Genomic DNA, 27,341 nt, shown 5'->3' with positions numbered 1-27,341 from the left:
GGCTTGAATGAGACAATGAATCTAGTCCAGTGCCTGGTATATAGCAAGCACGTAAGAAAATGCCTGATGATGTTACTAATAATAACAGATTGCACTCACCGAAAGCTTATTCTATTCCAAGCAAGAATCTAAGTGCTCATCATGCATTAATCCATTTAATCCTCTAATACCACTGTAAGGCAATTAACAACCCTAGGAGATAGTTATTTGGCAGTTGCTGCTATTGTGGAGTGGTTGTTTTCTAGGTCCTACCTATGGGCAAAATAGGATAGATTGGAGTGTTAAACAAATGTTTGTGGTTTTGATTAACCTTGACACAGAAGTGAGAGGGTTAAGTGAGATATCTGATCTTCTAGAGATTAAGTGAGAGATCTGATCTTCTAGAGAGTCTTCTGACTCTTGCCTCATTCCTTTTTAGCCACCCCAGGCCTAAGGAGCCAAATTATGGGATCAAGAGTGAGACCTTAGACCACATGGTCTCAGCAAAGAAGCAGGCCTTTTAGAGCAGTTTAAGGGCAAAAGGGGACAGCAAAAACCTCCGGCACCAGTGACATCAGTGGTAAGTCAAAGAACCCACTTCATAGATGCGCTGGTTGGGATGTCATTCTCTGTCATTCATCACCTCTACACACACACACACACACACACACACACACACTCTCTCTCTCTCTCTCTCTCACCATCACTTTCAGCAAAGTCACCTACCCATGCACATGTGAACAGAAAAAATAAAAAATAAGTATGTTAAGATCCTTGAATGTATGTGTCACGTATGTTTTGAGGATATGTCTCTAGGTAAATGTGTACAGAAAGGTCTGTGTGAAATTATAGACTGGAGAGAAGGATTCAATCCAGTCTTCTCTCCCGACTAATTAGCAAAGATGCTATCACAAAATTCAGGCTCTTACCTCCTGTATCCTCCTTAGGTAAGGTTCCCCCAGACAAGAACAACATCCTGGGCTGGTCCAGGTCTGCCCAACCAGTGTGTGTGTGTGTGTGTGTGTGTGTGTGTGTGTGAGAGAGAGAGAGAGAGAGAGAGTAGGGAGTGGTAGGTAGGTAGTTTGCCTCTCAACATCATGGAAACTGGGTGGCAAAGCCACTGGGAGCATGAATCTGGGGCTCTTGGCCAACTGCTACTCTTCCAGGATAGAAGAGGAGGCAGGATCCCAGGCAGTGGCTGGATTTCAGGATGGAGCTGGAGGGAAGGGAATGAGGAAGGTTTACTCTTTTCTACCAGTTTTCAACTGTGGGCACCAGGACAAGGACCTTGGGATTATTCCAGTCTGGTGCCCTGGAGATATAAAGTGGGTTTTTGCTAGAGACAGGTCAACCAAGCAGAGTTCAAAGTCCTTGGGCCTGAATTATCTGAACTTGGACCCAAGTGGATTGACTAAAAAGGGGAAAAGACAGGCGACTGTCTACCTCAATTGGGTTTACAACACTCTCTATATATTCTACGGGTATGAGTGGGGGGAAAGAGGATGTGAGGGAGTAATTTTTTTGTTTCTTTTTTATTTTTTGAAAAACAGAGAAAAGAGGCCCTCCAATGTGCACAGTATGGAAACTGCCTTGATCTTCCTAGTTTAGATTAGTGAATTCTGGGAGGGATTGGAGGGGCTTTCTTATTGCTCAGAAAATGACTTTGCAATTAAGGGAAGGGTCAGAAAGGGTGATAAAAGAAATGGCCAGGTAGAGGTTAGAAAAGGACATCTGTCTATGGTCAGAATATGGATATGTTCAAAATCTAGAGCCCCCAAAAGCCCAACAGAGGACTGGGGTAGTTATCTAAATAGTTCATCACCAAACCCTTCAACCTTGGACTCCTTGCTTTTACCTGAAAAATGGTTAATTGTCCCAGGCAGAGAAGAGACTGGTCCCTAGGGGCCAAGACTCAACTCATTCAATTCCAGGACCCTCTCCAGCTGGTAGAATGAAAGAAAAGTAACTGGGGAGGGGCCTAAAGGTTTGGCCTCAAAGGTATCTGGACGTTGGTGTATCAGAATAGGTCAGAGGCCAGAGGCCTTCCATTTGGGGGCTTTTTGACTGCTTGAGGTGGAGGGAGGGAGAAAGAGGAGGGTGTTGGGGGAGGGTCAGACAGGAACAGATGCTTTCAGATCTAAAGAAACAATTTGGGGGGTTGGCAGGATCAAACAGAGGAAGAGGAGGGGGAGGAGGGGGAAAGGAAAGAGAACAAAGGTATAGTGGAGATTGGAGCCTCTTCAGTGGAAGAGAGATGAAGGGGAATCCGGGTGAGATGGCCGAGCCAACATCTGCCCCGGCTATAAAATTTTGTTCTATTTGCTGCTGGCCCAGGGGGCACTCTGGAGTGGTCAGATCAGCCCCTGAGGTGGCCCAGATTGGAGGCTTAGCCAGGAACTTTTGAACCTCAGCTGTCCCTCCCAGACTGCCACCCACCACCTTTTGGTTCTTCCTCTGCTTTTACAGTTGGAAGGGAGTCCAAGGATTGGAACCAGGGCCACGACAGGAGGAAATATGGAACTTGGAAAGCAGCAGAAATGCTAGGCAGAGACTCTGAAATGGCCAAGAAAAGACAGACAGAGCTGGAGGCAGTCACATTCCAGGAAGGTTTGAAATTATCAAAGACTGAATCCTTGAGGGGAGGTTTCCAGCTGGGAGGCCCACATCACCCCATCACACCTGAGCTGGGTCAGGCAGGATAGGGATGAGGTGGGGAGGCCCAAGCAAGTGTGTATTATGAATATTCCTTGTCTCCCTCCCCCATTTTTTCCTTTCTCTAAACTGGCTGCCCTTTGGTTCCTCCAGCTAAAACTCAAGCCCCATTCGGTAACCTTATTTTCCAAAATCTATTCCAGCTGAATGGAAAGACTCCACATGTACAAAGTTACAAACACAATGATACCACCCAAAGGGGCAGAGCCTCAAATAAGAGCCAGGCTATCACTGTGGTGGGGTGAGATCGCCTCAACGAGAACAGACCAGTTTGGAGGATTTCTCCCAAATGACTCACGCCCAGCTCTGTCCCTGCCCATCGGATTTGAGAAGTGTTTCCCCTTTTACAAAAGCCCTAAGCCTAACCTGACATCCAGAAACAAAGGCCAGAAAACCGAAGAGGGCAATTCTCCCTATAACTGGGAGAGAAGGGGACATTCTTGGCTGGAATTCCTCTGATGGAGGGGATTGTTGGTTTGATGGCCTGGGATCCTTCAGGGCCTTCCTGAGTCCCGGGTCGAGAACGCTTCCACTGATACCTAGATCTCCCCTCTCCATCCCCACAAAGATCCTGAGAGGGTCCCATTTCCTGCTCTTGTACCTCGGAGAAAACTATCTTTTAATTTCTAAAGAAAATGAAATCTCATTATTTGGAGGTGGTAGCCGTAGGGTATTGGTCAAGGAGCGATTGAGGGTCCTCTCAATTTTCCACGAAAAGATGGAAGGTGAGATAGGAGGAAGAAAGGAGAGGCTGGGATCTAAAGGGCGAGACCCTCAGGCCCAGCGGAGTTCACCGCGCAGTGAACCCGCTCAGCTGGCCACGCATCCCGCGCTCCCCGCCCCGCGCCCCTATTGTCCGCCCAAGCCCGGGGTCGTGACCCAGCTGAAGGCGACACCGCGCCCAGGGCGGACGTGGCGTGGAACCCAGAGGAGGAGCCTGGCTGCCGCTGGCCCTTGAAACTTCGTCTTTGCCCCGGCTGGCCCCATTTCGCGATCCTCAAGACCCTGGCCTCTGTGAGAAGGGGAGCTGGGACACCCCCACCCCATGAAGACAGTCACATTTTGCCCCATTCTCTCGCGGCCAGGCTTCCCGGGAAGCCAGAGCTCCAGAGTGGAACCTAGGGTTTGGCTATCTGGCAGTGCCTCCTGCACACTCGGTTCCAGGGTTTTTTTCTGCCTGGAAATTAAAATACTGTATACTTTCCTCTCCCGATCTTTGATGCTGGGAAAAGAGGGAGTCAGAAAGGAGGAGTGAGTAGAAGCGACACTATTTTGGCTTCACTCATACCCCATCGAGGCAGGCAGAGCTGACCCTAGAGGATGCTGCCTATTCAGGAATCTGAAAATTGTTGATGGGGCCCGGAAATTTAAAATAGTCCCTTCCTCTTTATTAGGCTCTGTAACCCTAATCGCCCTCAAACATAGTCTGATATTCCCTACCCATCCTTGTCTTCCCTTCCTCCTGATTTATCCTCCAGGCCTGGCAGAAAGTGGAAGCAGGAAGATGAGGCTGCAGAGGCCCTTATCCCGGCAGGCCTGGATGTGGGCTCTGCTGGATTGGCCCTGCGTTCAAAGAGCTACGGAACTGACACCAGAGAGAAGAGAAGAAAAACCCGGAGGAGTGGAGGGAGAGCCAGGGGCTCCTGGCATTGGAGGGCTGATGAGCAAAGCTCCAGATCAGCTTTAGCTTCTTTCTGCTCCCCAAGCTCCAAAGGGGTCTGAGCTCCTTGAGCTGCGCAGGTTTTAAAATGTTCGAGGGCTCCTCACAGATCTGTAGCTCAGAGTTCACTGCCCCCATTTTTAATTATCAAGAGGCAGCTAAAACTCCAACACCCGGAGCAGCCACACGCTGCAGGAGAAAAATCAAAATGGGGCTGGCAATGCAGGGTGCAGAAAAAGCAGGCTGAGAAGGGTGGTCAGCTCTATCAAAAACATTGGTAAGAGGCAAAGACTTTTTTTTTTTTTAACAAATCCCCCAAATGTTTATTTTGGGCTCCTGCCCATCCAGATAAATCAAGCTAACAGATTAGGAAGTTCATAAAATTGTATTCTTAGGTAATGACATCCAGAGAGGTAATAAATATTCCCTCTGCTCTGGTGGCCGCTGGAGTTCTGGTGTTCAGGGATCTTCCATCTCTCATTCCAAGCCTGAGAGGGGTCTCTTGGAAGGGGAACATTTAAATTAAAATTAGCTCTCCATAGGTGCAGTGCCAGATAGAAGCTGTGGAAAACCCGGAGCGGTGGTTTTGTGAGTGCAATAGCTTGCTCCCCCAGGACTGGGCAAAAGGCAGAGAAAAAGATGGTACAGTTGCTCCAGCGCACTGCTCCTCCCCGTCATAGCACCCTTGATCTTAAGGGCCCCTTTCAGAGTCAGTCTCCCCTAATCCTAGAAAAGCAGAGAAGGACACCCTGGCTCCAAGCTCCCAGCAAACCTTTTAATTGTTTTCACTTCCCTACAACTCCCCCCAACACACACACACACACACACACACACACACACACACACACCCCTAGCTGTGGGAAGCTGTCTCTGGATTTCAATCTGCCAAGTCCAAGCAGAAAGAAAACTGAAGCACAGATTGCAGAGAAAACTTTGTAGGAAACTTCACACAAACAGCAGCAAGAGACCCTCGGAAAGGCAAAGTGCCCCAGTCCTTTTCCCTCAGTCTCACTTTCTCAGACTCTCTCTTTTTTGAGCCAAATTTCTTTACTCCCCAGGTACACAGACTCAGCACAGAACCGTCTTTTTCTCCAAGCAGAACCCCTCCGCTTACAATTGGATTTCCCGCCTTCCCTGCCTAAGACCGGGAGTTGAGACAAAAATTGAGTGGCAAATAAGAGTTTAAACTTTTGTGCTCCTCACCCCCAGAGCAGACCGAGTGCTAACTACTTACGTGTCAATGGGATCTTTGGCCTGTGGGGATCTCCTGGCGCTTGGAGAGAAGGAACCCTGGAAGATTGGTGTCGACATTTCACCCGTCTTCTTTTTACTTAGCCATTGAAGAGAGAGGGATACAATGCACTTACAGGCATTCATGCGCCTTGCCTCTCCCATTACTCTGGGCAAGAAATCCCCAGTCCTACAAAAGCAGTGGCATCCTATCTGGAGACCAGGGCTGAGCAAGGGCTGGCTTGGGAGGGTCAGAGATGGGGGTGGGGGAGAGGTCAGAGGCGCTGCCGAATATAAAGGCAATGGGAGAGAAAATGCTGTGTCCTCCCCGTGAACCTGGGCTGTGTCCTCCCCCCAGCCTTTCCCCACTGCTCAACCCAACTTAAATAAAAGCCCAGCCCTCAGCTTCCCAGCGAGGCTGTAGCAGCATCAGGCAGAGCAGCAGGGACCAAGACTGCTGGAGCTTGGGGCCCTCGGCCCAGACTGGCCCCCCACATCCCAACCCTGCCATGCCATTCTGGGTTGCCAAGTCCAAGGCAAAGGAGAGCTTTGGGGAAAGGGGAGAAAATGGAGCCCACTGGAGGGAAGGCCAGAGGCCAAAATCTTCAAACTCAAATGTAAGGGATTTTAGTTTGGGTTCATTTGTCAAGAATTATGGATTTCTGATGTTTCCCCTTTTCAGACCAGAAAGAACAGAAGGAGACACATGCAGAATGACCATGTATGTGAGGGAAGAGGAAGGAGAAGAAACAGAAGACATAAAGAAGGGGAAATAAAATAAGTGTTCTGACCCTTTTATGCTGCTTTTCCTGAACTAGAGTGTCCCTTCTGCAATTTCAGGGAGAAACTTAGGAAATAAAATGTAGTAATTTTCCCCCTCCTCACTCTCATCTCTTCCACTTTCAGGAGGAGAGGGATAAACTCCCTGAAAGCCACGCGAGCAAACTTAGGAAAGAACCATGGATCTCAATTTACCCCTTCCCTGCTTTCCATCTTAGCTCCTTTACAGGCTTGAAAAGACACCCTGGTGCCCTTAGACCTTCCTTCCCTTTTCCTAAGCACAGCTAGAACCCCCTTTTTCTGTTCCAAGGGCAATCGCCTCAAGACGATAGGGGCTACAGTCAGATTTGGCCCCTAATTCACTTGATTACATAAAAAACTCCAGATAATTGTTGGCCTGCCTCCTCATACTGTAGGCAGCATGTTTTGTTGTCTCCAGGGTACCACTGAGGGAGGAAAAGTAGACCTAAAGGACTAAGAGACTCCCCCCAACACACACACGTGTGAGGGCATGCATACACACACACACACACACACACACCAAGTAACAACCAGCAAGTGGTTCAAAAGGAAATAAATTCAAAGCACACCAATGTGATTTGTACAACTTAGTCCTGCTGTTGCCTTTCACTCCAGAATTTGGGGATAGGGGGAAGGGGTATCCCTGGCTTCCCTGCATACCCTAGATCTCTTCTCCCTCTGTCTTCTACTTCTAATTGCCTTTCTTCCTGAAATATGGATAAATCGTCCGAGAAGAAGGTCACCAACAGCCCTCCTCCCACCTTCTCCTAACAAACAAGCAAAAAATTAAGCAGGCCTTGCTAGGGCCTGGATCTCAGGACCAGAATTATTTGGGAGCCTTTGGCTTGAATGTATTCAGGTAATCCAGGCAAGATTTTTTGTTTCTTTTTTAGCCCCAAGGAAACAAATTTATTTAATTAATTTATTTCTTTACAGCCAGAGAAACTTGTTCAGGCTATCCCCATACGCTGCCAGGACCTGGGAGGTTATAGGAAGAGAGGGTGGTCCTTGACTCTCCCTAAGTCTCTTCGCAACACCTGGCAGGTCCATAATAAAAGTTAGAGAATAAAAAGGTAAAAGTCTTTTATTATCTCCAGGCATCAGCCTTTGAGGCCTATCCATAACAAGGGTACCTCCCAGGCCTCTGGCCAGTCTTTTTTCCAAGCCTAAACAAACAGAGAAGGCATCCTGACAGGTGACTTTGCTGCTTCAGAGTCACCAGCTCAAAACCTTCCTTCTTTTAAGAACTCAAATGTTGAGGGGATGTCTTCCTTAATCCCTCATCCCAAAAGAGCCCTAAAAGATGAAAGAAAACTATTCTCCTTCCCACTCCCTAAACTTGCCCCCTTGTCTACAAAGTAGGCAGGCCTACTCAGCACAGAGGAGGGAGAAGGGAAGAGAGAGAAAAGACAAAAAGAAGAAACTGTACCTAACTATAGAAAAGTGAGACACTCCCCACCCTCAGCTCCACTGAAGTGCCCCCAGAGGAGTCTGGTCTCTCTGCAGACTCAGGGGGAAGGAAGGGGACTGGAGAAATCAGCCTTAATCTTCCACATCCCCTCTTCTGAAGATCCCATACCCCAACCCCCTTGCTTGTTCTTCTAAGGACATTGGAAGACTAATGGAGAGCTAAGATTTGTGTGTTTGTTTAAAGTAAACTTAGGCAACTATAGAGAAGATGGGATGTTACCAGGCCAGAGAGGGAGGGGAATAAAAAGAAACCATCAGACATTGACGTAAAACTAATTCACATCCACTGGTTTATTATTGATCACGGGGCATTTCACATCGACACTAAAATTCTTTATTGCAAGTTTTACAATAATCAAGTAAATTCAGTCCAAAAACACAATAACCACGATAGGGGTGGGGAGAGATTCTACCTATAGACTGCCTCTCTGAACTGAAAGTTCATTTTGATTTTCTTTTGGCTCCTCAAACTGAACAGCTCTGAGAGGCTCTCCAGATGCATTTAGCTTTGTCTGCTGTCTTCGCCCCCTCTCCTCCCACACCCCCCCCCAACAATAATACAAAAGAACTTCATAGCTTTGTTCTCCTTAAAATGACTTCCCCCTCACTAACCTCCCCTGGTGCATTTTCAATGCAAAAGGCCTAAGGAAAGAGGGGGGGAAGGAGGAGGAGGAGAAGGATGAGAATTGGCTTTAAAATTTCTTTCCTTTTTTCTTTTCCTCATTTCCCCTGAAATTCACCCAAGCCAGACCATCACACCTTGCAATATATAATTTTTGCAGCTTTTTTTCTTAAAAAATAAATAACCCCCCAAAATGGCCTTTTAAAAAAAAACACCCAGCAGGTACCATGCTAAGACAACATCACATGCTTAAAAGGGTCCTTAACAGTGGGAGGGAGAGGAGGGCAGGGGGCTTGTTTGTTTATCTGTTTTGTCTGTTTGGAACTGACAAGGGACAAGGTGAGAGGAAGAGAGAAAAGAACCTATATATATATATATATATATATATATTAAATTCTATAAATAAGAGTCAATTTGTGTGTGAGGGGAGGGTGGGGGCATGGGGTGGGGGCAGGGGTGTGAGTTATGTTTTATAACCTGGTAATGTCCTCTGCCCGTTGCTGCTCCGGCGGCGTGGCGCTCTGGGAGTGGTCTTCAGAAGTACCCGGGGTAGCTGCCGAAAGGGTGCTGGGCGCAGCGCCGGCCGGGGGTGCTGACCTGACTTTGGTGTTGGGGAGTCGGTGGTCCTTCTTCCATTTCATGCGACGGTTTTGGAACCAGATTTTGATCTGCCTCTCAGAGAGGCACAGCGAGTGGGCGATCTCGATCCTTCTCCTTCGGGTCAGGTAGCGGTTGTAATGAAACTCTTTCTCTAATTCCAGGACTTGCTGCCGGGTATAGGCTGTCCTCGAGCGCTTGGGTTCCCCTCCGTTATAATTGGGGTTCACTGGGGGGAGGGGAAAAGCAAATAGTGGGGTTCAGAGGCAGCAGGCTCCCCGCCCCCCACCCTCACCCCATCCTCAGCTCTGAGAAACAGGAGGAGGGAGTGGTGGAAATAAAGTCATCAAGCTTAAATGGGTTATAAAGAAGTTGAAGGAAGCTGAAGACTTTGTAGTGTAATAAGAGGGGAATCCTCATTGTAACGACACTGAATTATTTATGCGCCCTTAGAAAGCGAGCATAGTTTTCACACATACATAACAGATCGTAGCACATGGCTCGGACTGCCCAGAGTAGCTAAGCCATAAAATTTATGGGGGATGTAATTACCCATTCTCGCTCGTAAATCCAGTTCAATTGTGCTAACCCAGAGTCGCTCCTGGAGAGAGAGGGGGAAGGAGAGAAAGGAGGACGGGGGCCAGAGGGGGCCGAGGAGGGTGGGGAGCGCTAGGGAAGAAGGGAGGGAGGGGGGGAGCAAAAAGCAAAGTTGCCTACCCGTGCTAACGTGAATTTTTTTCATCCATGGGTAGACTATGGGTTGCTTGCTGGCGGCGCTGGAGGGATGGTCGGGGGCTGGCTGGCTGCAGGCTGGCGGGGCTGGGGACGGGGAGGCGGAGGCGCCTGAGAGAGGCGCCGGCTCGCAGAGCGACTGTGATTTCTCGGGGTGGTGGTGGCCCGCCTGGGCCGGCCCGTGGCCTCGCGAATTGCCGGGCCCCTGGAGACTGGTGCAGCTATACTGGCGCTCAGGGTAGCTAGGGCGCGGAGGCGGTGGTGGGTACAGCTCCTGGTGGTGATGCTGGAATCCCGATTCCCTGGTCCGGCCGTAATATTCCGGACTGTGTTCAGGGATGTAGCTATTTTGCGAATATTCTTCGCATGGAGGAAATTTCGGATCGATGTAGTTAGAGTCCATCAAATACGAGCTCATGATCATTAATTTCTGGAGTGGAAAATAATTTTTCTCGCTTTGTCGTTTTTCTGCTCCATAAAGCCCTCCTACTAGCTAGCGACCCTGTAAAGTTACTTTCACCATGTGACTCCTCCGGCCAATCACACGGAGCAACCCAGTCCCCGGATAAGGAACCGAATCGCTTTATTCAAAATGTATCCAATTTTTTTGTGTGTGTGGTGGTGGTGGTGCTGGGAGGCGGGGGTGGGTGGTGATGTGGGGTTAGCTAGCAGAGGTTGGAGTGCCCCCAGTGCACATCCCGCCAGACTGACAACCCTCCCCTGCAAAAGGAGATGGGAAGCTCCCGGCTCCCCTCCAAAGCCCGGGCATTGGGGGACTGTCGGGAGGCAGTGATTCAGCCCCCGCCCAGGGTCTCCCCTCAGGCCTCTGCTGGGCCCCGTGGGCCTCGGCTCCTGAGCTTTTCCAGAGGTCTCCATTCATGGCGATCGTGTCTCAGTCTGTGTAGGTCACGGGGCAGCGCCCCTCTTTCGCAGGAAGAGGAAGTTGAATGAGGACTGGAGTGGATGTTGGATGGGGAGGGGCCCAGGCTGAGCCGAGGAGGCTGGAGAGCCTGGAGTGCCCCCCATCCAAGGATACCAGAGTCCAGCCCCTCTTCCCCATACACACTCACCCAACCCTCTGGCCATGCGGCCGGCGAGGCAGGGTCCCAGCTGGACCAGGCAGGTAGAGGCAGCGGGATGCAAATGATTCTGACGTCATTTCTGGAGGTCTGGGGGTTGAGCCCCCGCTGAAGAGAGACAGGAAGTGGTTGGCAAAAGCAGAGTTCAGAAGTCTCGCCTTCCCCTGCTACCCACTGACCCTCCCTGCCCCAGCCCCAGAGCAGAGGATCTCTTCTACTGCTGGCTTCTGTTTCCACTCCCCATTCAGCCCGGCCTGCTATTTTCTGACAATTATCTCCAAGGAGCTGGGGCAAGGAGGAGAGCTTTCTGCCAGGAGTCAGTGCCCTGTGATGGTGCCCAGCCAAGATCCTGAGAGTTCTTTCTCTGTCCCCACAGAGGGCAGACCTAGCTAAGAGGGAGGCCTGTGTGGGTAGAGCCTGCTTGCTTCTGGCTAGGAGCTGTATCCATGTAACACGTGTGTTTACATGTAAACACGAATTCCTAAAGGCCAGCTCCAGGCTGCTTTCCAAAAACGGAAGGCTAAGCTCACCAAGTTGGGGAGGCACGGCCAGCCTTTGGGGTCTCCAGCCCATTCACACCCCCTGCTCTCTCTCTGCCACCCACTCACAGTAATACTCTGATGGAGGGGGGTGACAGGGCCGTAGAGGAGGGAGGGGGCCAGGAAAAGCTGCTTTCCTAACCACCACCCCCCCCCCCCAGCTAGGGGTGGTCCTGTCATGCCACCGATTCCAATTAACTGATCGCCCATAACTCAGAGTTGCGGGGGGTAGCGGAGGGGAGAGCCCAGGGAGGGAGCCGGGTCCCCTTGTTGTACTTGATAACAATTATAGTTTAAAATCATAGCTTGCCAGGGCTCAGCTATATTTTACTTGATAACAATAAAAGTGACACATAAAGTTAACTGTTTATGTTTTATTTATTAGACTAAATCTGCCAGCGGTGGTAGGAGCGCTTGCCTCGTCGCTACAGCTTTTATAGGGCTGTAAAACGTCATAAATCAGTCTCGCGGAATCGCCCGCACTCTTTGTGTCGGCGGCGGCGCAGGGCTGGCGGCCGCTGGCTGCCTGCTCCCTCCTTTCCACGAAAAGTCGTAATGTGATTTTTTTTCCCTCTGATTTTATTATTATGATCGCCGCCGTGATTAGTCAATCTACCTTTAATTCGCCGCCCTACGCTACCTCCTCCCAGCCCAGCCTGGTTGACACTTGAATAAGTACCTTTTAAAACGGCATAACAACTATTTGAGGGTTTAATTAGAACATCTGCAATTAAGGGAATGAGGAGGGGAAAGGGAAAAAAAAAATAAAGCCCTTGTGAGAGGGAGACTGAAGGCAAGAGATTCCAATCCTTTTCTCATCACCTTTGGGATGTTGGAGAGGGTCCCCACTTCCAAATTAGGGCTTCCCCAAAGGGCTGGAATGAGAGGGAAGCTGGACCCACAGCCGTGCCCAAAGGGTGCGGATTCCCGCCTGGGCCCTCGTTGCCTTCCCTCCTCCAATGCTTAGGCCCCCAGCCCCACCCCAGGCTCAGCAGGGCCAGGGCTTAGCTCCCAAGGAGCTGGTGCTTGGTGGTCCCTGAATACTCTCTCTCCAAGAGGACAGTGCCCATCCCCACTGTAACCAGGCCAGGTGAAGGAACAGGAGTTCCCCAGAGGCTGAACACCTCTAATGGAGATTCCCAAATTCTCAGAGTTGGCTGAGAACCCTTGCCCACTCTTGTCCGGAACTCTCTGCATGTGAGGACAGGCTGGTTTGGTTGGAGAGGAAGTTGAGACTGTGAGTGAGGGGGCGGAGGAAGGCTACTGCTTGGTTAATAGTGGTTTGGGTTGTGTGGGGTTGTCTTAATCATTGGTGGTGGGGGTGGGTTCATTATAAATTGCTGGAAGAGGGCAAAGGGAAACCAGTGCTGAATCCTAGTACCTAAGTCTGAACTGTAGTCCCAGATGGCTCCACCGGGAAGTCCAAAGCTCAGCAAACTTTGGTGCCATGTGGAGAGGGTTGATGAAGAGGGAGGAAACCTTCCCGGCCCCACTCCCAGTCTCCCTTCTAGGCCTGTACCTGGATGCGGCTGCCTCACCTGGAAAGGTGAGCTGTGAGCCTGACTCTCATCCTCTCAGCCCTCACACTCACCTTTTACCATCCGTGCCCTGACGCTAACCCTCTTTTCTTCAATCTTCACCCTCCTGTACTTGTTAAGGAGTCCTCCCCAATATGTTGCCTGTCACATCCCACCCCCGCCAGGTTTCTGAGCTTCTGCAGGGGGGTCAAGGAGACTGACTTTGGGCCAGTATAAGTAGTAGACACAGAGGGTTCAGATGCCCCCAACTGAATGTCAAGTCTGTCTTTGGTTATTATGGTTAACATATATGCGTGCACACTATTAATATTTATTAATATATTAAATGCCTCTTTATGCAGCTATAAATATGTAGAGTTTTCATTCCAGGTTCGTGCAGCTAATTCAACATGCACATCCAGAAAGTGAAATCTCCAAGATTCCCCCAAATGTGCCCACACTCATCTACATCATTTACAAAACAACAACAGCAACTCTCTTTGGGCTCCTATAGCTTAATAGCAAGGAAGTCGCCTGTCACATGGGTAAAATACCACACACATACACACAAACATTTTCACCTGGATATTATTACAAGCACAGAAATAAAATCCGTTGGAAGGGCTTTTGCACTTAGCAATGGCTTAATTGGGAGGGGGTGGGGGTACTAAAGCAGCTCTCATCTGTGATGAATCCTTGTATCTGGTCCTGTCTTCTTTTGTGTTTCACCCTCCTGCCTCCCGCCTTGCTGGCCCAGGGGCTGCACCTCTGCCCTGTCCTCAACCTCACTTTGCCCCAGTTTTATTTATTTTTATTTTTTCTGACTACCTTTTGCCAGCATCCAAATGCTCTCTGCAATTGCCCCTCCACCCCATCTCCTTTCTAAATCTCGATTTGGTTTCTCTTTCGGAAACACGTTTCAGTACAAAGCGCTTCCCTTCTGACATCGCTGAAGAAAAATATGTGTCCATTGTGTGTGAGGCCTTATTGTGCCTGGATTACCATACTGACCGTTGGATAACCCATATTCCTCCCCTCCCCAGTAACAAGCTGCCGGCTGAGAGAGCTCAGCGGCTCCATAGATTCTCTGCTGCATTAAAATCGTACCCCTCTCTGATTTTTCCAAGGGAGAAAAATAAATGGGTGAACCAATTCAGGATTTGGAGGGCAAAGGGAAGGAAAATGAGGGTCATTCCTTTCCCTACTCTTTGAAATGCAGGGTTTATGTGTGTGAATGTTGTTGTTGTTGTTGTTTTAGGGATTAAAAATTGCAACATTTCTGTTTCCTTTCACTCATATAAATTGAATTTTAGATGGTATGCAATCAGGCAATTCATTTCACTTTGATTTTTTTTTCCTTTGGGCAACTTGAAAACCCAAAACTAAATCAAGGCTCATAGCCCATTTTTTTCGTGTGTGTGTGTGTGTGTGTGTGTGTGTGTGTGTGTGTGTGTGTGTGTGTGTATGTGTTTGTCCCTTTCTAATGCCGGCAGCCAGGGCTAATGTATGCAAAAGAATATGCAAATCTTAATTGATTTTTTCTTAAATCTCTTGTCAGTAAAAGTAATGAATTGGTCTAAAATGATTTTAATAACCTGGATGTGTCACCAGAAAATACTCAACCTTTTTTCTTCTCCTGGAATCGCTTATAGTCTCAAAAAAAAAAAGCAATCATGGAATGTTAATTTGCCCCCCTTTAAAATATTAAAGATGAATTTCTCTTGTTTGTTTGGAGACCTTAGGCAAGGTCCTCTCATGGATTTCTCTTGCCTTGCCTTGCCTTCCTTGGAATTCAATTTTCCTCAAATCTCGTTTAAAGTGGCTTTTTAAAAAGTGGCCGCATTTTAATATTGGTTAGACAGAGTGACCTGCATTTCACCTCGGGTGTTTGACTTGTTCCAATAGTTCACTGCCATGGGGTTATTGATGGGGAAACTCCATTGAAATTTGTCTCTTCGCAAATGGCCTTTAGATCTTCCAGCGAGTTCAATAACTAGTTATAATGTGGAAGGGGAAAAATGAAGGCCCTGGGCTAACGAATCTGATGTTTCATTTTTATGCTGGAGAAATTGTTAGTTAGAGGTTGGGTTCCCCACCACCTTCCTCCCTCATCCCAGCCTCATTGACCCCCACCCCTCTTCAAGACTGCTGGATGATATCCTTTTTAAAATTTGGTTTGGGGTGTCCCTTGCTAACTTTGATGCAAGCTTTACTTCTTATTATGAAAATTGTTGTTGTTGAAAATTCTGATGTGTGGATGCAGGAACCTTGCTGTGCGGCAGGTTGGTGACCTGAATTTCTTGCTGGGGAGGGGGACTTTTATTTTTCAAGGAACCTAAATGTGGCTTGAAAAGATCTAGAAATCAGGCTGGCCTTAGGTTAGTTTATGGAGGGGTCCCTGGCCTGGTACTCCCAGTATTAAAGAGATGACAGGAAGCTGGAAACACTTTTAAGAGTTTATGAGGGTATCTCAAAGTGCCTTAATCTGTTCTTGGCCTCTGAACTGCCAGAGACCCATGAGATTATGCACCCAAGACCAAAGAAGGCAGAGACTGGGAAAAACTAAGGATAGAGAGAGAATTCTACAGTAGGCAAGGGAATCCTGGGTCCTCTCCAGGGTCAGCATCAGAATTCATGAGGACTTGGTCGGGTCACCTCTGTTGCTTCACAAGAAGGGTGCTCCAGAAAAACTCAATTCCCAAAGACCGTGCATTTTAGTAAACTGGAGAGAGCCAAGGAAAAATAAGTGGGGTGATGGAGATTTTATAAGGTTTCCCTTTTTCTGGAGTTTTTAAGGGAGGGAGAGGAAAAGGCAGAGGAGAGGATTGGAGGTCTTTATTTTATTTTCCCCAACCATAGTGAAGTTGGGGAACCCTTGACTCCCCCAGAGAAACCTCTGTGAGAAAGAACTTTGGAGAGCGCGGTCTCCTGGGCTGACCCAGCCATACCAGATCATTACCATGATTAACCTCAATAATAAGATCTTCCCCTCACAAAACACAGCTCCCGGTGTGCCTTTTTTTCTCTTCCAGGAGCTGTTCTTTCTCCTTTCCAGCCCAAAGGGGTCCAGTTTGCTCAGCCCCAAGCTCTCCCTTTAATAACCCCGTCTGCCTCGCACACCCCTTCCAAGCCTCGGCCCATAGATCAGAGTCTTTCCGGGCATGCTTTGAATCCTGGGTTGGAGGAATCAAGGCCGAGAGAGATTTCTTAGTGCCTGAAACTGGGGTGTCACCTCCCTCCATCCCCTCAAACCCAAAGGCAGCATCTTGATGCCATTTGGGTTCGCAAACTTGCCTTGGCAAAATCGTGGCACCAGTGGGATCTGGGGAGCGGCCTTCAACTGCAACTGCGCGTCTCAACCCCACAAAAACGGGAAAGTCGGAGAAGGGGCCATCGGAGGCTTCAGGGTCTGGCCTGGGAGAGGGCACCAGAGTCTGCTCTTCCTAGCCAAGCGGGAATCAATAGCGATGTGTTATAAACTTCCCCGAAGCCCCTCCGCGCGCTCTGGTCCTGGCGGGCGAGCCACGTCCCTAAGCCGCTCGCCAGCCTCGGCCTGCACCTTGGCCGCCTCCTCCGAACCCGGGACCCCCAGCCTTGGGCTTCGTCCCCTCCCTGTTTTAATTACGTGATTGATTTCCGCTTTGGCCGCCTCGGGACGCCTCTGCCTCCGACTGTTTAAATCTTTCGGCTCCTTTTGTGTATTTCCGAGTCCTCCCGGCGGGCTGTAATTTACAGGCGGCCCCTCGGCGGCCGGCGCGCACCTCGCGGCCTGGGTCCGGGGCGGGCTTCGGCCTCGCCCTACATTCCAACGAAATGGTCCTGCCGCGGTGCTCGGGAGACCGGCTCTGCAGCGGCCCCGCGGCGCGGGACTCTCAGGCTGTGGTCCTGCCCATTCGCTTTCTGAATTATTTTGTGCTCCATTATTCTCTGATAGGAAAACGTTCCCTGTGTGGGTTATCCCTTCAGGCCTGGCCTCAAAGCTGGGCTCTCCGCGGTCCTGTGCTTTTCTCCTCCCCCGAATGAGGTGTGTGTTGAAAGGTCTGGATTAAGCCCGGAGGAAGCGCGACGCCTGGCTCCAGGCTTGCGGGGAGCTAGAGCCCCTTCGCCTCAAACACCTGGGCCCTGCGCTGGCGGGCGAGAAGCACCAGAAGAGATGCGAATTCGGCCACAACTTTACGCCAGTCAGCGCGAGAGGGACCACAGGGCTGGCGGTCCCCACTGCGGCCCCTACCCCGCAGTAGGCGGTGGATCTGACTTTCGCTCCACAGCCCAGAGGCCTCCTCGCCCTGGCAGCCCCAGCGGGCACCTGGCAGCAGCCTGGGGTGGCTGCGCGCACCTCCGCCCGGGAACACGCTGTTCAGCCCCTCCACCCAAGGGATTGAAGGTGAGGCGAAGGAAGGGAAAGAGGGGAGAAATTGATGAGAAGGGTAGACTTAGGGTGGGGAGAGAAAGGGGAAGACAAGAAATGAAGAAAAGGAGCCCCTTCTCCCACTGTGGCTGACTTCTTTCCCTTTCTCTTTTTCCTCCCCAAACTGCTGGTTTTCCACTTATTCTCTCATTTATTTACAACAAATAAACATTGCTCTGCTTATTCTACCACGTTGTGTTCATTCTTTGATCTTTTCTAACGAGGCAGCAATGAGTTACCATTAACTGTGTATATATATATATATATTTCCCTCAAGGAGAGAAGGGGATTGGGAATGTCTTTCTGACTGGGAAGAAGTTCAGTGACACTTGAGTTGGCCACAACCTTCTCCCTGTCCCCTGACCTACGACACCCCAATACTTGTCCCCCAGGCCCCCTCCCCCACAGCAATGTTGCCGGGTAAATAAGAGTCCGCCTGCCTGGCTATTAGGATTCTGGAGACGTTGGCATCTGTAGCAATCATTAGTCAAAGCCGCGGAAGCCAAAGGAGCCGAGGAGTTGGACAGAAAAAATCTTGGAAATGATATACAGGAGACGCGGAGGCATCAATCCCAGCCGATAAGAGCGGGGCTGCTGGGCGCAAGGCGGCCGCTTAATTGGGCCCTGGGCACCGAGAACAACTGGGGAGGAGGAACCTATGGGTTGTGCAGTAACCCTGGCATCATTTGGGCACCCTATAAAAACAGTTGGGGACTTGATCCCTTTTTCCCCCACATTTCAAAGGCCCAGTGGGGGGTGTAGGGAGATATACAAGCCCCTGTCAGCCTCTTGCCCTGGGGATCCAACAGGAACTGGGCTGGAGGACTCTCCCCTTTCTTCTCTCCCCCTTCTTTTTAGTGGCTACCTTGAGAGGTAGGGAGCTTCGGCTTGGATCTCAGGTCACAGAGGCAGCCTGGAGGCAGTCTATGACCCCTAGAGTAGGTTTTCGAGGGACAGATAACTTAGTGGGACTAGATTTTGGAGATGGCCTTAGAAATAGAGACAGAATTACTTGCTTTAATAAGCCAAACATCCAAAATATATTTGTTCCCTACCCCCACTCACCTAATATCTTTTTATATCATAGACACAGAGATAGAGAGGGAGACAGAGAGATGCAGTAAGTTTAAGTCCTTCTAGAAGGGAGATCTATGCCCCTATACACAGATGCATGCATTATGAAACCATCTCTAAACATATGTTCAAACATGTAAGTTTTTCAGCAAAAATGCAAAGACTGTAAAGATCTCTAAATATGTAGCTTCAATATGTAGCTATTTTATGGGTTAGGATCCTTGCATAAATCTAGATAAAATTTTCAAAATAGACATTGAACACACACATAGTTCTTTCCAACAAAGAAAAAAATTTCCAAATATTCACTTAGGTGTTTCAAGAGAGCTGTACCAATACATCCTAGCATATACATCCAACCACTATAGAAAGATTGGTAAAGTGCACACAGGAATTTGACCGAGGACTGTTATGTTCACTATGGATCTATAAATCTGCATTTAAATGTGGAACAAAAAGGAATATAAAACATACATCCTGATATAGACATAGAACGATCTATAAATACGTTTTCACATATATAACTATGGGAGCGCTCAGCTCTCTGTGAAGATTATTTGCATGGAGTCCTAGGAATGAAGAGGAATCTCTAGTGCTTGTGGGTTTGGGGTATCCCAGCCCAGGCTTCTCTGAGAAAGAAATGAGGGTGGACTAGAGACTTCGCAAGTGCTAAGAGGGCCCGGAACTCATATAATCTATGACATATTTCCAGCATATAGGGGCATTTTGCTGGCAATGAATATAAGCCCTGATGCCTGGGCCTGAAAGCTTCCTGACCTGATCTGGCTTGAACTAAGGCTGAATTAGAGGGCTCTTAACTTTGTTTTCCTTCAGCTCTGTAGCCCCAGGCACAAGGGAGGGACTTGCCAGCCAGGGGGTGGGGGATCCTTAGGAGGGGAAGACTCATTATCATTAGGAAATGGAGTTATTTAGGTAAAATATATTGTTTGTTTGGTACATAGAGATGTGAGAAGGCTGGGGGCTTACACACACACACACACACAAACACACACACTCACACACCCCTGCACCCATCTTAATTACAAAAAAACCCAGTGACAGACTGCAGAGTTTCCTCCATTCATGCGGTACACGATGGGGTTCCCCTATGCCCCGCTGCCATCTCCTCTTATTCCTAGCTCCTATGAACTCTGTCTTATACATCTGAAGTTCTACCTTGTCAAAGGGGGTTTGGGGCTTGGGGAAAGAGTGACAGGGAGAGATCAGCCCCAGAACAGAAGAGTCCTGATATCTACAGCCAGGCTCTGAGGCTATTTACTGTCAATGTTAGTTCCTTTGTGACTGAGGGGTTGGGGGACCAGGGACTGCATGGGCAAAAGGAAATGAAACGTTGCATTATTTTTTAGGGGAAAACTTTGAGGGAAAAAAAAATCACCAATTAGCCTTTTAAAAAAGAAATTGGAGTCAGAGGATTTTGAAGACTCCAGATGCTCTGTTATATTTCTCCTTTAGTTTACTGGGGAAGGGAGGAAAGGAGGGGCCTCAGGTGGGCTTGGGGAAGTGCAATCCAATCTGCCAAGCCAGCTTTGGGGGAGAGTGATTTACAAAGCAAAACCTCAGATGCTACTTCCTGAGAAGTCACCAGATCAAAACACCCTACTCTAGGCGTTTATGACCCTGTCTTTACTCCCAACAGGAAAAGCACCCTCAATAAAACCTCAGCCTGTGCCCCCATCCTCCACCCAGGGGATGGGGAGAGACACAACATAAAATGAAAGACCTGACCCTTACTACTCCCTAAACACACACACACACACACACACACACACACACACACACACACACACACAGCCTGTGTTTTCCAGCCAGAAAGTTGACTTTTAAAAGAAGTATTTACTAGACAAGATTTATCTCTAATGTCTGAGCAAGGGAGCCCTGAGGAGTTTGGAGTTTGAGCTTGGAACAGAAGGAGAGGGGGATTAGATCAGATAAGATTCTGGCCTCCTTGGACCCTCCATGTCTCTTCAACTCCTGACAACTCAATCTGGGCCAACACAACACTGAAGATCACAGAAAGCCTGGCTGCCACCATCCCTGGAGTCAGCTCTAGCGTTTGAGTTTTCCAGAAAGGCAGAAGGAAGGAAACTCAACAGCTGCGCAGGGCTTGAGGGGTGGGGGTGGGGTGGGGAGGACAAATGGTTTCCAAGCTGGGCTGACGGGAAGAATGGAGTGGGAGGGAGGAGTGGGAAGTTGGTTCCATGCTGGTTACTGTGTCCAGCCCAGGCTTCTGACCTCTACCATACCATCCTTGGGCACATATATGTGTTTCTGTGTGTTCAGGTATTCTGGTGTTCAGGGCCAGGGGCTGGGGTAAATGAGAATCTTTAGAGGGCAGAACCAAGCCTGAACTGCCTCTCTGAGACCTGTGGTGCAGAACTGAAAGGATCCTAGGTGACCAGGCTACACATTTCACCCAGCCCATATGGGGTTGCAGATCACTGTAGAACTTTCTCTGTACATGTGTACAGATGCAGAGAAGCAGCCTTCTCCCTGCACTTGCTCCCCAGCATGCCTGGAGCAGTGGACCGGCTCAGGGCCCAGCCCAAGTGTTCAACCTCTTCTCATAGCTGCTAAAATGTGGTCCTTAGAGGCTGAACAAGGTCCTGCATAACCGAGTCCAATTTTCCCAAGTCCCACATTGCACACCCATACCGCTTCCTCTGAGGTATCTCTGTTCCCCTTTTGCCTCTCAGTGAACCTTAGGATTGGGAGAGGGAGATGATTACAAGGGTTGTGTAGGCCTCAAAAATAAAGAGATTTGTATCACCGAAGTTCCTCAACCCAGACCTTGTCTGGCAATTCCTTGGGCTCCTGGAGCCCCATCAAAGCTGCTAGCAGAGATAGTATCAGTACAGACACACCAATGTGGGTCACAAGGAGCCAATAAAAGTTGGGAGGGGTAGGAAAGGATGTGACTTTCTTGGCTCTCAAACAGCATCGTCTTCTCCTTAAATTGAATCATTCACCCCAAAACCCTAGTTTGGCACCCTGATTTCAGATTTTCTTTCTCCTTCACCTCAAAGGGCTTCAGGGGCCCTAGTCCCACTAAAGAAGAGGCTCAGGGTGGTGGTGCTTGTCTTCTCAGCAAAAAGGACCTAATTAAATCCTAGAACAATGATGTTTCAGCATTCCCCCTCTCAAAAACTCAGTCCAAAGCAGTTACAGAGAACGACAGTCAAAAAGAGAAAGTTTACCTTTTTGAGGCACTCACAAGGAGGGGTCGAGGCACTCACAAAATCTCTTTTCCCAGTGCCTGTGTGGATAGAACCAATCTCCCCCTGTCTTTGTTTCCTAACTCTTCATGAGATCTGGTACCCCAGTGTGAGAAGTCCACATTGAGGGTGAGAGTTGGTCTCCAACAATCTGCCACACCATTCACTGGGGAAGAATAAGTGTGTCCTTTAATTCTAACTCATAAAAGAGGCAAATGGGGCTGGCCACGGTGGCTCATGCCTGTAATCCCAGCACCTTGGGAGGCAAAGGCAGGCGGATCATCTGATGTCAGGAGTTTGAGACCAGCCTGACCAACACGGAGAAACCCTGTCTCTATTAAAAATACAAAATTAGCCAGGCGTGGTGGTGCATGCCTCTAATCCCAGCTACTCAGGAGGCTGAGGCAGGAGAATCGCTTGAACCCAGGAGGCAGAGTTTGCGGTGAGCTGAGATCCTGCCATTGCACTATAGCCTGGGCAACAAGAGTGAAACTCCATCTCAAAAAAAAAAAAAAAAAAGAAAAGAAAAGAAAAGGCTGGGCGCGGTGGTTCACACCTGTAATCTCAGCACTTTGGGAGGATGAGGCGTGTGGATTACCTGAGGTCAGCCTGGGCAACATGATTAAATCTCATCTCTGCCAAAAATACAAAAATTAACTGGGTGTGGTGGTGGGCACCTGTAATCCCAGCCACTTGGGAGGTTGAGGCAGGAGAATCACTTGAACCCAGGAGACAGAGTTTGCGATGAGCCGAGATTGTGCCATTGCACTCCAGCCGGGGCGACAAGAGTGAAACTTAGTCTCAAAATAAGCAGATGGAGCAGTGTGGTTGAAGGTAACTTGAAAAGTGAGGGCTCAATGATTTCTGAGAAGAGCTGCTCTTTTTCTGGCTTCTCATCCTTATCCTTCCCACCTGGCCTGTGGCATTGTCCCCAAACCAGCTCCATCCAGAAGACAAACAATGAGGGGATTGTTGACAAAGCCCAGCTCAGTCCGGACTATCCTTCCCATTCTTGTACTCTTAATGCCCCCAGGGGGGTGCTTAGAGGTCCAGGTGCCACAGTCCATCAGAACTCCTGCCCCTTAGCTCAAAGAGGGCAAGAGATCAGGAAGAGAAGGGGAGGAGAACCCAACCAGAAAATTCACTCTGAAACAAAGCTCTAGAGAAGTGGCTGGGGGAGAATACCTGGGTCTGGACCCAGCAGTGGACTGGCTCAGGGCCCAGCCCAAGTGTTCAGGAAACACAAGCATTTCTGTCATAGCTGTGCACTCCCTGTGCCATCAGATGCTCTTACTCAGCAATAGTTTCTCGCCTATTGCTTGTTCTTGGCCTAATCCATGTAAACTCAAACACTGAAATCCACACCTTCAGTGGCTGTACCTTTTGATGGCTATTGGCCAGGACATAGGATCATCACCTAGTCTATTATTATTATTACTATTATTATATCCTGTTAAAAGAATGGAAGGGAAGGGGTTTAAACAAATCCATCAACTATTTAATGTGGAGAGTGAGGAAAGTCGGAATTCTCTGTGCTCATTCCTTTCCAGAACCCTTAACTAGCTCAAAGTTATTCGACAAACGAAAGGTACCAATCAGAACTTTCAAAAAATCTCCACTTTTGCTCCCTTCCCTAACCATGCCTGAGGCAGTCTGATAAAGCTAATGGCTATTGGAGCATTTCCAGAAAGAGAAATCAAAAGGGCTCTCCTCTCACCCCACCTGCCCTCATGAAAATCAGAAGAGAATGAATACTTGTAAGTGTATGGGGAATAATCACAGCCAGAATTTGAATTCAGGGCTGGAGTTCATATCTGTATTTGCTCTATAGTCTAATTTAGAGTCTACAACTACAACACCCAGAAAATTGGGTAGAATCACGCTGGCGAACGTGGGAATAATCCAGAGGATGCCCCCACAACTTCACATCCTTGTGCATTTGAGATTGACTCCCAGATACAACTTTGTAAGCAACTGAGGAGACAAGCCAAAGACTCCTCAGAGTTGGTTCAGGGACTGACAGAGGAGGCTAGAATATGCTGGGTATCACTCCAGCCTTCCAAATCTGAGATAGGATAAACCCAGGAGCTAAGGCTGTGGTGGGAAGGGAGGGAGGGAGGAAGGAACAGGGCCGGATGGGAAGAGCGAGACAGAGACCCAAGTAGTTTTTGCTGATTGGTTGGTGGGGACCATGTGACCCTGCTTAGTGCATTTCTGATTGGTTGCTTGACCTCTCCTTGGGTTAAAGTCCTAGGAACAAAATTAAAAGCTTCCCGGGTTGGCTGGAAAGCTTGGCACCTGATTGCCTGCCCACCCTCCGCTCCAGAGACACTCCAAATTAGGGTTTGGGGTAGTGGGTGGGAAAACCAAGAATTTCAGGCCTCCTTTGCGTTTGCCCTGTTTCCAGGTGGAACTAGAAACTTTTTAGAAAACAGTAAAAAACTGAGGCAAACTATTTGAGGGGAAGGAGAATCAATTATCACAGGAAGAGGGGTGGTATTTAAATGGAACTTTTGAGCCTAAAGAACAGAAAAGGGGGTGAAGAAGTCATCAAAGGGCTCAAGGGACGCTATGTAAATCTTTAAACACCCTCGAATGCCCGTCTACACAGAGAGGAAGGGAATGGGACTGAGATTTGGCCGAGAGTCAGGGCGGGTGTCAGGGTGGAGTCTTGCCTGGGTGTGGGACTTCGGCCCTGGCTAAATTCCCGGTTAAAGACCACTGCACTCGCTCCCTAGAGCCCTGGGGAGGCTGGAGGGTGGGGAAGAGTCAAGTTACAGACCAAGAGAAACTCCCATGTCTCCGCTGCTTGGATAGGAAAGTTTCCAGAAACTCTCAAAATCACAGACTAGAGGGAAGGAGAGAGCCAAGAAGGACGGGTAATGAGGAAGGGAGAAACTGATAATTAGTTTTTTCCAATGCGTTGCTGGAGAGAATTCCCTGGGATCCTAGGAAAATAAAGGTATCAGGGAGGAGGGTGGGGGAGGCTGAATCTTGGCCGAGACTGAGGCCCTGAGGGATGGCGTCAAGGGAATCCTCCATGTCGGGTTCCCGAGCTCCTCATGCAAGTGAGAGACCCCTAGACTGAAGAATGGGGCTCAGCTAAGACTCCCCATTTATTTGGGCCTCTGTGCCCCCTTCCTTCTCCCAGAGTCTGCCTGCTTCTCGCTTCTTCCCCAGTCCCTTGAGCAGCGGGGGCGAGGCTAACAGCATTCCCTCCTCATCCCCCAACAGCACCTCTCCACAAAGCAGATGCCCAGACACCGCTGCTCCCCAGGCATGCTCCCCTTCTGGAAGGTGCATATCTGGCTCACTCCCTCTGCTCCCCACCCCTTTCTCCCAGCCTGGAGGAGTTGCACCTATGGGTCCGCTGGCATTCAGCCCTGCTTCCAAAGCCCTGGCTATTCATGGCTGGCCAGTACAGGAGCCTGAATTCACATGTTGTCACTTTCCTGGCTTAGCTCCCGGTGACGCACAGGGAGGGATAGCAATTGCAGGTGTGGAAGACATGTGCCTCTCATGCCCAACGCTTCTGCTGCTCCTTCCTAGAAACCTGAAGGGCGCCCTAGCCTGAGGATTGACCCCAGGGTGCAGTGCTCATATTGGGCCCTGCTAGCTCCATCCCCGAGGGGCTACTCTGTCCTTAAGGTTGGGGGACTTACTTTCCCAGCCTAGCAAAGACATTGCCTCTGCTCCCTCACCCATTCAACACACAATTACACTCCACTCACAGCAGGAACCTCTAGGGCTCTTAGAGCCTAGTTTTATCTCAGGCAAGGGCTGGGAATGCCAGGAAGACCCAAGCAGCTAGAAGGAGAGGAGGAAGCATGAAACCACACTGGCTTCAGACGGACTAAGATGCCAAACTACGGAGGCTGAGACAGCTGCCCATCCAAGCCTGGTAGTGAGGGAGGGAGGGGGCACTCTGGGACCTCTGGGTTCAAACAGCCACCTTTGAGATACTTTTGCCAGTTCAGGCAGCAGTAGCCTGTGGGCGTAGAAGCCACAAAACCCTCCTTCCCTGCCTTTCTCCCCAGTTTCCCACCTTGGGCCACTGGCCAAGGGCTGAACTCACCCCTCCCTGGAACAGTGGGCCCCAGAGGCATTTTGAGCTTGTGTCTAGAGTTTACATACCCGTACAGACACCAAACACCCTTGTTGCTGCCGCTTGCTTTCTTCTCAACTGAAAGGGTCAGGAAGACCTGGCAAATCTCTAAACAACCAAGGCCTCTCTACCCCAGTTGACTTGCAGTCAGAGAGAATAAGGAGTGGGAAGGGGAGGGCTGCTCAGGGTAGACAAGCTCCCCCATCTTCCTACTTCCCAGCAGCTTTTTCTGCTGCTTCTTCTCTTCTCCCACCCCAGCCTGGGAAGGCCTTTTCCCCCTCCCCCTAATAAGTGGGAGCTGCCTTCTATCAAGTGAGGGGGGTGGTTAGGTAAATGGGAGAAAGGGTCTGAGAGAGAGAAAGAGAGAATTAACTCACAGCGTTCGCCTGGGATTCATTTGCGAAGATGTAACCTCTCTCACCATCGTCCCCAGCGCCGTAATCCCCTCTAACTGCCAGGCCCTCTGTCCTAGCATTAAACCTCACCAGCAGCTGCGTGGCTGGACAGTTAAGATTATATATGATGTAAATATATTGTGGGTTTGTCAGCTCTCCCTACACCATAAAACTTGGTTTAATGATATCACGTGGTCCCCCAAGAGCCACTCACGGGCTTGCCTTCAGGCTATTCACATAAATAACCTCCAAAAGTTTCAAACTCCTAAATTCACATAGAAGCATGCCTATTTCTCTAATGCTCAGTTACACTAAAAAGCCCTGGTGCTGTTCCTTTGCCCCACCCCCACATCCCCCTTGCAGGGTGGAGAGGGGGGAGAGGGTGGATCCTTATTTATTTATTTACTTACTTATTTCCATAAGGACCTGTCGCCTTCGAGGTCGTGTTGATCTTTTTGTCCTCTTATTTTTTCCTCCTCTTTCCTCTAATTGCTCAGAGTGGGCCGTGTCCCCCCTCTTCCCACTCCCCCGGGAAGGTAAGTCATGCTTCTTCCCCTTCTTTCTTGCTGCCAGAGGGGGTGGGTTCCAGGGCAAAGTGGAGAGGCAGGCTCCATAGTCTCTGCTTGCAACCCAGAAGACCCCTCCATAAACTCCCCCAGAGCAATGCCAGACCCTGTTACCTGGAAATATGTTCTAGGAGGCTGGCTGGTGGGGAAACTACCCCAGGCCCCAAAGCAGAAGCCCCTGTTCAGGGAGAAATCAGGGATCTGGGCCTTATGCACCCTCAGCGTAGGGAAGTAGGTACGAGGCCTCTGGCTTGGTTGCCGCCGCTGACTCCCGACGATGCTGCAGAAGCCAAGGCTGGTGCCTGGGCAGACCTGCAGATTGTGACAGGAAGGAGGAGGGCAGGCAGGCACTCTGTGTCTACCCAAGCCAAAATGAGTCAGACCTTCAGCTCCTCCAGGGAAGGAGAGGCCCAAACCCTGCCGGGAGGAGGCAGTCAGTGCACGGTGGGGCTGGTGTGCCCTGCCTGGCAGCTCTAACCAACATTGCCCCTATCTATGACAAAGCCCTTGGTTTTCCCCTGGGGTGGTGCGCCTGTCCCCTGGGGAGGAAGCACAGGGCCTGGGCAGCCTGGGAGGCTGGAACAGGTGGGTGCGGGTGCCACAGCCTCTTTCTTAGTTAACT

The 27,341-nt window shown here is 49.6% G+C and overlaps 1 protein-coding gene and 1 long non-coding RNA gene across 3 annotated transcripts in view, besides 6 other annotated features; both read right to left on the bottom strand.

Annotated features, from left to right (window-relative positions):
* FLJ12825 (uncharacterized LOC440101) overlaps nt 1-5,896 on the bottom strand; it is a 63,981-nt gene extending 58,085 nt beyond the window's left edge. The window contains 1 exon segment of the long non-coding RNA NR_026655.1: nt 5,586-5,896. This is a non-coding gene — a long non-coding RNA (uncharacterized LOC440101).
* Nucleotides 5,998-6,499: an enhancer, noted in NCBI's record as "H3K4me1 hESC enhancer chr12:54451435-54451936 (GRCh37/hg19 assembly coordinates)". NCBI's record gives its function as "activates a minimal SCP1, AML or CMV promoter by ChIP-STARR-seq in primed H9 embryonic stem cells {active_cell/tissue: H9 hESC(primed)}" and the evidence as "EXISTENCE:reporter gene assay evidence [ECO:0000049][PMID:30033119]".
* The window catches only part of HOXC4 (homeobox C4), a 39,143-nt gene continuing 19,921 nt past the window's right edge, over nt 8,120-27,341 (bottom strand). Inside the window, exons 2-4 of one of the 2 annotated variants that reach the window (NM_014620.6) lie at nt 10,874-10,990; nt 9,789-10,233; nt 8,120-9,300 (exon numbers count right to left, since the gene is read on the bottom strand). In NM_014620.6, the coding sequence (NP_055435.2) occupies nt 8,945-9,300; nt 9,789-10,227 (795 nt within the window). In that variant the 5' untranslated portion in view covers nt 10,228-10,233; nt 10,874-10,990 and the 3' untranslated portion in view covers nt 8,120-8,944. Of the gene's footprint in view, nt 9,301-9,788; nt 10,316-10,873; nt 10,991-27,341 lie in introns of those variants that run through there. The other variant, NM_153633.3, reaches the window with a different exon arrangement.
* Nucleotides 10,024-10,524: a transcriptional cis regulatory region, noted in NCBI's record as "promoter|chr12:54447410-54447910 region (GRCh37/hg19 assembly coordinates) targeted for CRISPR interference". NCBI's record gives its function as "negatively regulates NFE2 gene expression in K562 cells {active_cell/tissue: K562}" and the evidence as "EXISTENCE:mutant phenotype evidence [ECO:0000015][PMID:31784727]".
* Nucleotides 10,556-11,537: an enhancer, noted in NCBI's record as "H3K4me1 hESC enhancer chr12:54446397-54447378 (GRCh37/hg19 assembly coordinates)". NCBI's record gives its function as "activates a minimal SCP1, AML or CMV promoter by ChIP-STARR-seq in primed H9 embryonic stem cells {active_cell/tissue: H9 hESC(primed)}" and the evidence as "EXISTENCE:reporter gene assay evidence [ECO:0000049][PMID:30033119]".
* Nucleotides 11,101-11,260: an enhancer, noted in NCBI's record as "active region_6434". NCBI's record gives its function as "activates an Ori minimal core promoter by ATAC-STARR-seq in GM12878 lymphoblastoid cells {active_cell/tissue: GM12878}" and the evidence as "EXISTENCE:reporter gene assay evidence [ECO:0000049][PMID:35858748]".
* Nucleotides 11,538-12,519: an enhancer, noted in NCBI's record as "H3K4me1 hESC enhancer chr12:54445415-54446396 (GRCh37/hg19 assembly coordinates)". NCBI's record gives its function as "activates a minimal SCP1, AML or CMV promoter by ChIP-STARR-seq in naive H9 embryonic stem cells {active_cell/tissue: H9 hESC(naive)}" and the evidence as "EXISTENCE:reporter gene assay evidence [ECO:0000049][PMID:30033119]".
* Nucleotides 16,810-17,709: an enhancer, noted in NCBI's record as "H3K27ac-H3K4me1 hESC enhancer chr12:54440225-54441124 (GRCh37/hg19 assembly coordinates)". NCBI's record gives its function as "activates a minimal SCP1, AML or CMV promoter by ChIP-STARR-seq in naive H9 embryonic stem cells {active_cell/tissue: H9 hESC(naive)}" and the evidence as "EXISTENCE:reporter gene assay evidence [ECO:0000049][PMID:30033119]".

This window comes from Homo sapiens, chromosome 12 (genome assembly GCF_000001405.40).
Source record: "Homo sapiens chromosome 12, GRCh38.p14 Primary Assembly".
Classification (NCBI taxonomy): Eukaryota; Metazoa; Chordata; class Mammalia; order Primates; family Hominidae; genus Homo; species Homo sapiens.
This window is presented reverse-complemented; position numbering and strand designations above follow the sequence as displayed.